Source organism: Homo sapiens, chromosome 11 (assembly GCF_000001405.40).
Source record: "Homo sapiens chromosome 11, GRCh38.p14 Primary Assembly".
NCBI lineage: Eukaryota > Metazoa > Chordata > Mammalia > Primates > Hominidae > Homo > Homo sapiens.
The window spans coordinates 74,957,096-74,969,897 of record NC_000011.10 but is presented as its reverse complement, the minus strand read 5'-3'; the positions used below and the strand labels follow the sequence as shown (position 1 = coordinate 74,969,897).

General features: G+C 37.9%; 1 protein-coding gene and 1 pseudogene across 1 annotated transcript in view; one reads left to right on the top strand and one right to left on the bottom strand.

The window, feature by feature from the left end:
- Nucleotides 1-12,802, bottom strand: part of SPCS2 (signal peptidase complex subunit 2) — a 29,768-nt gene that overhangs the window by 9,136 nt on the left and 7,830 nt on the right. The window contains exons 2-4 of the mRNA NM_014752.3: nucleotides 4,781-4,864; nucleotides 3,975-4,135; nucleotides 199-333 (exon numbers count right to left, since the gene is read on the bottom strand). Of these exons, the coding sequence (NP_055567.2) occupies nucleotides 199-333; nucleotides 3,975-4,135; nucleotides 4,781-4,864 (380 nt within the window). The remainder of the gene's footprint in view (nucleotides 1-198; nucleotides 334-3,974; nucleotides 4,136-4,780; nucleotides 4,865-12,802) is intronic.
- RNU6-216P (RNA, U6 small nuclear 216, pseudogene) lies at nucleotides 1,606-1,703 on the top strand (annotated as a pseudogene).

The window sequence follows — 12,802 nt, the reverse complement described above, 5'->3', positions numbered from 1 at the left end:
GCATTTCTGTGATAACGCAATCTCAGAACTATAGGGCTAGGACAAACCTTCTAGATCATCCATACTCCTTTCTTCATTTTATATGACTAGCCCTATGATCCACATAGAGTAGGCACATAATAAGTCTTCTGTTGATAATGACAACATGCCAGGGCAAATCCAACACCAGGATTTAAAAATCTGTGAGGATAGTCATACCTTTTAAGACTGGAGGACAGCTGCCAAATATCATCAGGATCCATTCCTGTAGGATCTTTCCTGTGGGCCACGAGAAAGATGCTCTTCTCCTTATATGAGGTATAAATGGTCAGAATCCCCATCATCACAAAATAGGTTCAAATAAAGTTAAGGGGAAAATACCCAAACATAAAAGAGAAGTAACACAAATTGACAAGCAACAGATATAAAAACTTTCATAATGATAGTCCTAAAGAAGACAGCTTTGTCTTGCTGCCAAAACACTGAAAATTTAGCTATTTCATTTTCATCCTTATGTTTATATACCAAGAGAAGCAAGGCTCTCTCTGGTTAATTCTGCAAACACCTCAGAAAGGAAGAAAAGAAAAAGATACAGAGCATAAACTAGCTCTCATCTTTATGTTCAAAGACAACATGTATAATAAGATACCTAGTTTGTCAAGACTTTGTTATAATAGTGCTTATTTCTTTATAAAAAACAACGAATAGTCCCAGTGGACTTGACCATGTTCAACTGATTTTAAGGGTTATTAAGAGAAGAAAAGTGACCCAAATAGTTTACTATAAGAGAGTATGTCAAATAGTACTACGATTACTTCCTATATGCATATAGACTTATTATTATATTGTTTTTGACAGTATTAAGTACCATAGTTAATAAGCACTTATAGTTTGCCAAAAACTGGCATAAGAGCTTTGTGTATACTGTGCCATTTAAATTTCATAAACAAGGCTGGGCACGATGGCTCACACCTTTAATACCAGCACTCTGGGAGGCCGAGGCAGGTGGATTGCTTGAGACCTGGAGTTTGAAACCAGCCTGGCCAACAAGGAACAATGGGAGACCCCATTTCTACTAAAAATACAAAAATTAAGGCTAGGCGTGGTGGCTCACACCTGTAATCCCAGCACTTTGGGAGGCTGAGGTGGGCAGATCACTTGAGGTCAGGAGTTCGAGATGAGCCTGGCCAACATGGTGAAACCCCATGTCTCTACCAAAAATACAAAAATTAGCTGGGCATGGTGGTACATGCCTGTAGTCCTGCTACTCAGGAGGCTGAGGCATGAGAATGGCTTGAACCCAGGAAGCAGAGGTTGCAGGGTTGCAGTGAGCCGAGATCGTGCCACTGTGCTCCAGCCTGTGTGACACAGCAAGACTCTGTCTCAAAAAAAAAAAAAAACAAAAAAAACCCACAAAAACCAAAAAAAAATTAGCTGGATGTAGTGGTGCAGGCCCGTAATCCCAGCTACTTGTGTGGCTGAGGCAGGAGAATCACTTGAACCTGGGAGGCAGAGGCTATAGTGAGGCAAGATCGTGCCACTGCACTCCAGCCTGGGCAACAGAGTGAGACCCTGTATCAAAAAATAAAAATAAAATAAATAAAATAAAAATAAATTTCATGAACAGTGCTCGCTTCGGCAGCACATATACTAAAATTAGAACGATACAGAGGTTAGCATGGCCCTAGCACAAGGATGACAGGCAAATTCATGAAGCATTCCATTAAAGAAGAGTTAAAAAATAGATAAATTTCATGAACAGGAAAGGCAGGAAAATATAGTACAAAGTATATGGACTTTAGAGTAGAGATAATCCTAGATTTAAATCTTGGCCTTTAATCAGTATGATTGTAACAAATAACTTCCTTCCCCAAGTCTTAGTATCCTTACCTTTAAAATTGGGATAATACTGATGTTTTAGAATTATCATGAGATTTAGAGATGAAGGATATATGCAGTCTAGGATACAGAAGACTTTTTTTTTTGAGACAGGGTCTCACTCTGTCACCCAGGCTAGAGTACAGTGGCATGATCTCAGCTCACTGCAGCCTCAACATCCCAGGCTCAAGCAATCCTCCCATCTCAGCTTCCTCAGTAGCTGGGATTATAGGTGTGTGCCACTACACCCAGCTAATTTATTTTTTATTTTATCTAATTAATTTATTTATTTTGAGACAGAGTCTTGCTCTATCGCCCAGGCTGGAGTGCAGTAGCAGATCTCGGCTCACTGTGACTTCCGCCCCCTGGATTCAAGTGATTCTTGTGCCTCAGCCTCCCAACTATCTGGGACTACAGGCATGCGCCACCATGCCCAGCTAATTTTTGTATTTTTAGTAGTGACAGATTTCTCCAAGTTGCTCAGGCTGGCCTTGAACTCTTGGGCTCAAGTGATTCGCCCGCCTTGGCCTCTCAAAGTGTTGGGATTACAGGCATGAGCCACGATGCCCAGCAACAGAAGACATTTATAATGGTAGTCCCTACATTATAAATAAAACTGACATGACAAAAATAAGACCTTGTTTTATTAAACAAATATAACCAAACAAATGAATTACCATCAAGGTAGTTCTCTTGGGAGGCCAGATATTTGTAATAATGTTGCTATCATTTTCAAATCTCTTTGGAATTCCCCTGGGAACTGTCTCTAGAACCTATGGAATATTATTCTTCTGAACTGCCTTAATAGTGAAAAATTCATACTGGGATGATTAATCTGATTACTGAAAGGAGTCAAGGATCACCTGGTGCCACTTCTGGGGGAAATGTGGGGCAATCTGGATAATACAATTTTTGACTAGGATCTGCTTTATCAGAGGTTTGCTAACTGCCTCTGAAGATAAATCCCCAACATGAAGTTTTAAAACATATTTCAGGTTGGCTGGGCACAGTGGCTTATGCCTGTAATCCCAGCACTTTGGGAGGATTGCTTGGGCCCAGGAGTTTTGAGACCAGCCTAGGCAACGTAGTAGGACCTTGTCTCTGTAAAAAATTTAAAAATTAGGCAGACATGGTGGCATGTGCCCGTCTACTCAGGAGGTTGAGGTGGGAGAATTGCTCGAGCCAGGAGGCTGACGCTGCAGTGAGTCATGATCACACCACTGTACTTCAGCCTGGGTGACACGGTAAGACCCTGTCTCAAAAAAAAGAAAACAAAACAAAATTTAGGTAGTGGTAACATTGTTTAAAAAAGTAAACTACCAACCAAAATTACCTATTTTAATAGTGAAGTATAATTAAGTTCTTTATATTCAACTTCTTGAGAAAAAAAATCACGCTGGGTAGGCAACGACCATGATCTTACATTTATCATAAAAAAGAGGGGAAAGGAAATGATTATGTATCAAATACAATATAAAATCTCTCATTTAATCTTTATGATAATTCTGAATGCTACCCATATTTATAAATGAGTGGTATTCAAATCATCTCAAAAATAAGTAAATTTTCATTAGCACAAGATCACAGATACCTTGGATTTCAAACCCATATTCTCTAGCTCCAGAATAAGTTCTTAATTCCACTGTAATACAAGCCACACTTGTATCTCATGCTCAGTACTTTCCAGTTCAGCTCCTCAGCTTCAAGTAAACTTAATACAGATCTGAGTCTCCAAAATCAGATCCTTTCCTAATATCCTAGAATGAGTGGCTTGAAGCAGCCACGTCTAACGGGAAAAGTTCTGGGCTAGAAATGAGAAGAGCTGGGTTCACTATTACTATGTGTTTTGCTATTAAGTGCTCATATTAGGACAATAACCTCTACATTAATAACAAAAATGAATTACGATAAAATAACCATACAAAACATAAAATATCAGTGACAGTTACTATATAAACTGATAGATATTTACTATATAAACATCACAGCTCAAAATGTTGAATTCTAACATTAGCAAGCCCTAATATGAAAGTCCGTTTTGTTTTTTGTAGGGAGAAATATCAGCAGATTTAAAAAAATAGTCACTAGAAAACAACCTGAGCATAAATAAAGGATATGATATGACACACAAAGCCAAAACGGGTTTGGACTCTGGAAAGGGGTGCATATAATCCCAAATCAAAGCCACTATGGCAAAGAAACAGGAGATTGTACAGATGGTGAGGCGACCATCAATTAGACCAAAATTCTCCACATATTTGTATTTTTCCAGAAGTACCTGGTGAGAAAAACAAGGAATCAAGCTAATAGGAATACTTCCTCCCCAGTATGTGCTTTTATTCTTGATTTCCATGATAAAAGAATCATATGAATTACCAAGTAGTTCCCTCCAGTTGGGATTTTACCACACCAAACAAGTAAAACTCAAGCCTTCTATAAAGAACCAAGAGAAAAAGTTCATCAATCCCTCATATAAAAAACTTTAAACTCCTCAACTTTTCCCACAGCTAAAATGTTTTACTTTTACAAATGGAGAGATGATTTATCATGAATGAATGTCCTATCTTCTCTCACCCTTCTGTGCTCTAGGCTAATTAATCTCAAAAACAAAAAATTACCAGCTTTCTTGAGATAGCCAACATCTATATTTCTTTTTTTTTTAATTTTATTATTATTATACTTTAAGTTTTAGGGTACATGTGCACAACGTGCAGGTTTGTTACATATGTATACATGTGCCATGTTGGTGATATTTCAACACACTTCCTCTGACTTTTTCTGTGAGAAATTTTAGAAACTGCTTTCTGACTTAATTTCTAACACTGAAAACTAAGGTCACTCCAAGTTACAAAAGGAAAAGATTTCCCAGGAGAGATGGCCATCAGCTGTATAGATACTAACCAACCCCTCCTCAAGAAAGTACCTTTTTGGCAGAATCATCCAAAGAGTTTTTCACAGCTGATCCATCCCACTTGTCAATTTTTACAGGCTTATCATCTATCTTCCACTGTAAAACAAACAAAAAAGTTGTGCATCAAGAAACCTGGCCTCTTACTGAAAGTAAAATGAACCATTTTTTAAGAGCATCCCTCATGCACATATAATATTTACTCTTTGTCTTCTGATGTTGCAGAACTAAAAGACAAAACAGGCTATTCTGGGCACACTCCTATGGGGTAGCCCTGCAAGAAGCAGTTAAAAACAAACAAAAAAGACCAAACAATTAAAAATCAGGTTGAAAGAGACTAGGTCACTAGAGTCAGGTGGTACTCATGTGATGCTGATGTTGCCAGTCTCCATGCAGAGAATATAAAAACAACCCCAGAACCAGAAAACGTATATGGGCTGCACAGACTGTAAGTGTAAACTTGTATATCCCACCTTCATTTTACCGAAATGTGAGTACAGAAAATTACTCTATTTGTTCATTCTTTCTTTCTGTGACCACAAAACTCAGAAAATACAGATACATGAATTTACAGATACTAACAAAATGGGGAGGATCTCCTTTAATATCACTTTGTCAGCTAACAACTTTTATTATTTTACCAGCATGTCTTAACTTTAAGATAGCAATTCCAGGATAGCCTGTTGGAAACAACACTACATTTTAAATTACAAACCAAGTCCCAGACTCAGTCCCAACACGAGTTGAGTGGACAAACTCTACTTCTATTTCCCTTATCTATAGAGGTTTAGAAAGTTTCCCAAACACTGCTATTCAGAAGCAAATAATTCTCTCACTGCTCATGTAGAAGTTCAAAATGTTACAGCACCTACGAATGCCAACTTAGCACCCTGAATTCAACTTCCCACTTCCAGGAATGTTTCTATAACTGAATACATGTGAAATGAAATACAAGGCTACTCACTGCAGCATTGTCTGTAATAGTGAAAAGCTGGAGGTAACTCGAGTGCTCATTTACAAGGGGATTGGTTAAACAAACTACGGTACATCCAGATATCTTATCAGGGTAGAGAAATACGGGGAGGAGTAAGATTACTCTATGTGTGCCTTTAAAATTTTTTAACCATGTGAATATATTACATAGTAAAAAATTTTCTCAAATGCAAGTATTTAAGTAAATATAGCTTAAGAGGAACAGGGTGCTACAAATAATCTGACAAACCTGTTTTTTGTAGACCATTAATGGCCAACTCTTAATTTTTTAGATCAAGTGAACAAATATTGTATTCCATAAAAATTACAAACCAGCAAGCAATCCAACGTTCATCTGGATTTAGAATGGATTATTTTACTGAAAGACAGAGAATGTCATATTTATCTTTCGGATTGAGCACAAGTACAAAGATAATGCCTATAAGAAATAAAGAGATGGCAGTGGTGAGTACCTGCCATCCCAGATACTTGGGAGGCTGAGGTGGCAGAACAGCTTGAGCCCAGGAGCTCGAGTCCAGCCTGGGCAATATAGTGAGAGCTTGTCTCTGAAAATAAATAAATAAATAAATAAACAAACAAACAAACAAACAAACAATAAAAAATAAAATAAGAGATGGGATAAAAATAATTGTAAAGATTTTAAACAACTACAGAAATACAATTCATCAACCTTGTTTTTTTTTTAACTGTGATTCTATATATTATTACACAAAAGAGAAAACCTGTTCTGTGAAGTTTGTTAGAAGAAATAACATGAGCTAAAAATAGCCATACTTAAAGTGATTAAAAGTCAATCAAGTTTTTTTTCCCCCTTGGTGCCCTGTAAAAGCAAAAATTTTTCTTTGAGAAAATTACTCATGGCAGCATACTGCACTATTGACTGCCATAGACTGCCAGCCTACAAATCAAACACGACATCTAATTTTAAAGATACAAACTGAACCAAAAAGAAATTAGCAGGTTTTCTAGCTAGATAGCTCATTTACACTGTCAAGTAAATCCCTCTTTGAAGACATGCAAAAGAACCAACTTGTAGAGCCAAATCCACCATAGCATTTGAATTATTTGTGAAATAAAGTCAGAATAAAGTCATTTAAAAATTATGGGTCATTCAAAAACAGGAAAATCATATTCTCAGACACCTAGCCACACTTCACTGCCTGCATTGCATCACAGAAAAGAAACTTGCCTTTAAAAGTCAGAGGATAATGTCTTAACCAATTTGGGAGAATAAAATGCAGAAGCAGCCATTACAATGTATTGAAATAGCCTCAGCTCTAACTTCACTGCCTGGTACCTAGAAGCAATCTTCAGTAAGTGGAAAAGAAACATTTCCAGTGAATTACATGAAATCACAAGAAAGGTTATAATTTGACTTTACGGCAACACAGCCCATTTCGAAGCAAGTAATGTCTCTACTACAGTATGGAGAACCATCTGGAAGAAGGGGAGTTGCTATTAGGTGCTTCTTTTTCTGATTATTACTTCTCATCATGCTCAAAAACTGCTCATCAACTAAAATGTATGCTGCTCCTCATGTTCTCTCTACTACTAATTCGGGTATTTTAAAAGCTATCTTTTTTTTTTTTTTGCCTCAATTTTGTCTTCCTCAACACTAATTGCAAATTGCTTTCCTTTTGTAATAATAAAAAGAGAAAGCAAAAATTAGTTTCTTTTATGTGGGACCTCACAGGATAAATTAAAAAGAAGGGCAGTGTGCAGAAATAAGTGAACCTGGGTCCAAGACTGCCATCTTTAGCAAGGCTTGTTTGCAAGGTTGGCCCTTGGCTGGTATCTGACAAGCTGGCTGATAAAACAAATCCCTACACTGATATAAATACATTCCCTCAGTGATAAGAATGGCTCACTGTGCCTCAACTGTTTGTATAAATGATGTGATTTATGTTGAACACCTTTCCTTCTGGAAATCTAGAAAAAGTTCTTTATGTTGCCAGTATCTAAAATTTCAAGATGATATCCCTTACACAGGTCAATTTTCACCCACTGTAAAACTGCTATTGCCACTCATCTTTTTATTGCAGCACTAAGCAGACCCTCAATCCAGAAACCAATGTCCTTCAGATTAGAAAACTAGAGTTCAAAGATGTTAAGTGCCATACAAATAGTAAATGACAGGCCAACAAAATTCTTTAGGGCTAAATTACAAATACATGGCTCATTATAAAACTGTCTCTTCTTCAGTGATATAAACTTATTTTTATTTGCCTTAATCCCTGAACTCAATCCCAAAGCAGATTGTGGCCTTATTCTTAAAGGTGTACTGTACTTCAAATCACAAGCTGATTGGTTCTGGTCAGGTGCAGTGGCTCACACCTATAATCCCAGCACTTTGGGAGGCTGAGGCAGATGGATCATTTGAGGTTAGGAGTCCGAGACCAGCCTGGCCAACATTGTGAAACCCCATCTCTACTAAAAGTACAAAACTTAGCCAGGCTAAGTAATCCCAGCTACTTGGGAGGCTGAGGCAAGAGATCACTTGAATCCAGGAGGCAGAGGTTGCAGTGAGCCGAGATGGTGCCATTGCACTCTAGCCTGGGTGAACAGAGGAAGACTCCATCTCAAAAAACAAACAAACAAACAAACAAACAACAACAACAACAAAAAACAAGCTGACTGGATTTAGACTAAATACAAATGTATGTAGGCAAATGCTTTTTTTCCTTACCCAATAAGGTGAATCCTTATTATCCAAGGGAGAATGGAGTCAGGCTACTTTATTTTAATCCTCACTTTTCCACTTAATACTGGAAGGCACTGGGCAAATAATTTAACCTCTCTAAAGCCTTATTAGTTTGCTAAATTGTAAAATTAAGATGGTGAAAGTATCTATTTCACAGGTTGGTATGAGAAGTAAATAGTGTAATTATAAAACATAGCACAGTGCACAGTGCCTGGTACCTAGCAAGTACTTCATAAAAATTAGCTATTGCTGTTGCTATTAATGATATAAAACTATATAATACACTGCATCATGGTTACCTGACTGTATGTATTGTCTCCCTCACTGGGTCACAGGGACTATACACTTTTGTATTCTCAGAGCCTGGAACACAATATACTCTCAATAGCTTTTTTTTTTTTTTAATGTCTAAATCCTTATAAAGAAAAAAAGGGAAGAAAAAGATCTCTAAAATGTTACTCTCCAGTTTAAATTTAGCAAATGTAAACATGGTCAAAATGATCTCACTTGGTTCTTATTCACAGAATTTCTTTAAGGGATGGAGGGCAGACAGAAGGTATAATCATAGCTACCATTTCCTGAATGCCTAACATGTGCTACGGATGTGCTAAGTATTTTATATACACTATCTCACTTAATTTCCACAATAACTCTACAAGGTAAGAACAGTTAAAATCCTCCTTTTACAGATAACACTAAGGGTTTAAAAAACCTGCCAAAGGTGAAAGGCAGAAAGTGGTAAAGCCAGGACTCAAAACCCATGCTCTCTCATTATTCTACACTGCTTTCCCATGAAGTGCAAGGAAAGGAATTATTAGCCATCAAAAACACAAAGAACAGGAAACAAAGAGATCCCTGAAGTGACAGCTATACATTGTATCTTGATTCCTAACAAGCTCTAGTAATAACATTTTAAAAACCTAAAAAAAAAAAAAAGATGTTAATCTTGAATAGGACCACAAAACTCACAGGGTATCAAAAATGTTGAACCTCCCCCCCCAATGTAAAACCAACTGCAATTTGGCTGAAAACAGAGCTCAAAAAGTACTATCTTAAAGAAATTACTCCCCTACACCACCCACTGAAGAGATAAAGACAACTTTTTTTTGAGACAGAGTCTTACTCTGTCACCCAGGCTGAGCGCAGTGGCGCGATCTCAGCTCACTGTAACCTCCGCCTCCTGGGTTCAAGCAATTCTCATGCCTCAGCCTCCCGAGTAGCTGGGATTACAGACAAGTGTCATCACAGTCAGCTAATTTTTGTATTTTTTAATAGAGATGGGGTTTCACCATGTTGGCCAGGCTAGTCTCGAACTCCTGGCCTCAAGTGATCCACGTACCTCAGCCTCCCAAAGTGCCACCACACCCGGCCAAGATAAAGACAACTTTTGTCAGACTAACACACCTGATGCCAGAGCTGGCTGGCTAACCAGTTCAAAGAAAACAGGCATTTGATAGCTTTAATAGAACATTATGAAGAATCATTTCAGTTACGTTTCTCCACTGCACATTTGAATAATAAAAAATTCTACAAAGACACTTCACTGAAGGTATGGCATCAGGAACTCCATAAGTGCTTAGGAAGGATATTAAACACAACTCAGGTCTGAAGGATATGTAGTCAGTACAGGAAGGCATTTTCCAAATTAACTCATTTGAGGGAATACAGCCTTCTGTTCCCATGCATCTCACCACACTCAAAGGGATAGGGTGGGATCAAAAAAAGAGACAAAATAAGCCAGGCACAGTGGCAACATGTTTATAACTTCAGCACTTTGGGAGGCCAAGGTGGAAGGATCGCTTGAGTTCAGGAGTCTGAGATCAGCCTGGGCAACATAGCAAGACTCCTCCGTATCTACAAAAAAATGTAATTTAAAAAATTAGCCAGGTGTGGTGGTGCCCACCTAAAGTCCCAGCTACTTGGGAGACAGAGGCAGGAAGATGGCTTGAGCTCAGGAGGTATAGGCTGCAGTGAGCCGTGATTGTGCCACTGCACTCCAGCCTGGACAATAGAGTGAGAATCCATCTCAAAAAACAAAAGGACAAAATCCTTGGTCATTAGGATATGTCCAGCAAAACAAAATTGTTTTGAGTATGACACATGAACACCTTCAATTATCTTATTTTAATCACAGTGAAAACAGAAGTTATGCAGTGATATAAAAGACCTGAGTGGATTGCTTCATAAAGTTCCCTGGCTTGATAATAAGACTCAAAGGATTCCTCAATTCACACTGGAGAGATGAAGAATTACCAAGGGTGAGAGTGGTGTCAATGGTGACCCTGTTCTGATTTAGACAGAACTGAGCATGGCTTTAAGAAAAATAAACTTTTTCTCTCCTTTATCCCAGTTTAGAAAGTAGACAGAAGCTGCAAAGGGGGAAAGTAGTAGGAGATGAGGCATCCGAGAGAAACCATTTCCTAGTTATTAGGCTAAAGAACTTGAACTTTATTCTGAAGCAGGCAATGGAGAGTATTTTAAGCATGGGAATAACAATCAAATTTACGTTTTTTTTTTAAGTCATTTTAGTGGCAACCTGGCAGATGATCTGGAGGGGAGTAACACTGGACATAGAGATGCAGATGGGGCCTGATGTAAGTGCAGAGCCTCAATGCTCAACAGAGCAGCAGTAGGGGGACTGAAAGGGAGTATTCTGAGGTAGAATTGGCAGGACTTAGTAACAGACTAGTTATAAGGAACATGAAAGAGAAGAGACAGAGATGACCACCTACTAGAATTAGGGCTTGGATGACTTGTTGGAGCCATCATGTCATTTTCCAAGAAGAAGAATACAGGAGGAAAAAGGATAAATACCCATTTGTATATGTGGAGTTCTAAACTAAAATAAGGAGATAATAAAAACTGATGGCAAACTCAGAAGCTGAGATTACAATTTCAGTTGGAAATATATAGTGCCTATATCCCCCCCACACACACATATTTAGCAAGAAAGGAAAATGTTCAGTTTGGGAAGAAAATGATGTCTATCTTAAGAATGTGCACTGTCATCTAATTTAGATCCCAATTCAGCAAAAACATGGTATCTCAAAGAGATTATGCTCTTAGCAACACACTGAATCTTCAATTTCAATCTATTTTTTATAAAAATGGCCAAGATACACTGCAAAGAAAATTACTAGCTTAACAGTGCTTATTACTGACTGCATTCATCACTGGAGTTAGAAGTTAGGAAATTACCATGTGTTAATTAAATTATGAGCACACACATTAGTGACAACCCCAGAGAAACTGATTCTTAGGTTTTACACTGCCTTCTCTACTCCACCACAAACTGCATTTAGCAGTGACGGGGCTGCTTCTACATCAACCCAGCCCATGAATAGAGAAGCCTACATGACTGAAGCTCTTTGAGGGCCAGATCACTGGATCCATGACTTAAACATCCCACCACTGAACCCAGTAAGTGTGAGATCTAAGGCTGAAAAGAGCTTAAAGTTAAAACAACTTGATTCAGCATATTAATCAGTAATGCTCCAACAACGAAGTATTTTTTTCTACCAGCAAACTGAAATGTAGTCAACAATCCTTTCACTACTAGCAACTAACATCTTCTAAAGTCTGACTGAATTGTTGGCATAATCATCCAGTATGAATTTCTTACCTTTGCAATGGGTAGACAAGAAATCAGATATACAAAAAAAATGGTCTTTACAATTTAGTTAAGGAAAATCCTATACTTACAATGAATTATAAACTATGCTAAGTGCTAAATGGTAAGAAGTAGACATAGAGGGGCAAGGGCACACTACAAGTTCAAGGATCTGCAAAAAAGATTTTGGATAAAATGTTACCTATTTCCTCAGGGATATCAATCTGCAGCAAAGCTGACTGGGGAGGGTTGGAAGAGAGAGGGATGCTGCCAAGGAAGACCTGAATTAAGGCACGAAGACTGGCTAGGAATGTACTACATTGATACAGATGTGCGATGAGTCCTTATTCTAGAAAGGTGGCAGATCACGTGCTCCATTTAAGAATTACATGCAATCAGTTCTGAAAAATGCAGCTGAGTGCAAATTCAGGGAGAGGACCATACAGCCGTTTCATCTGAAATCCATCTCCTACTGCCTGGAAAAATATTAACTGTTATATGACTTTTCTGGGTTTCTTTTTCTTTTTAAGGAAACTGCCAAGCCTCTCAATAGCAATTCATTCCAGTGTTGGACATTCTTTTAAAAGAAAAAAATAATATTTTTAAACACAACCTTTATGGCAATTACACTCTTTATTTTCTTTAAATTAATATTGAATGGCTGCTTGCTATGTGCCAAGCACTGTTCTAGCCACTAGGGATATAGTCATAAACAAGACAAATTCTGCACTCA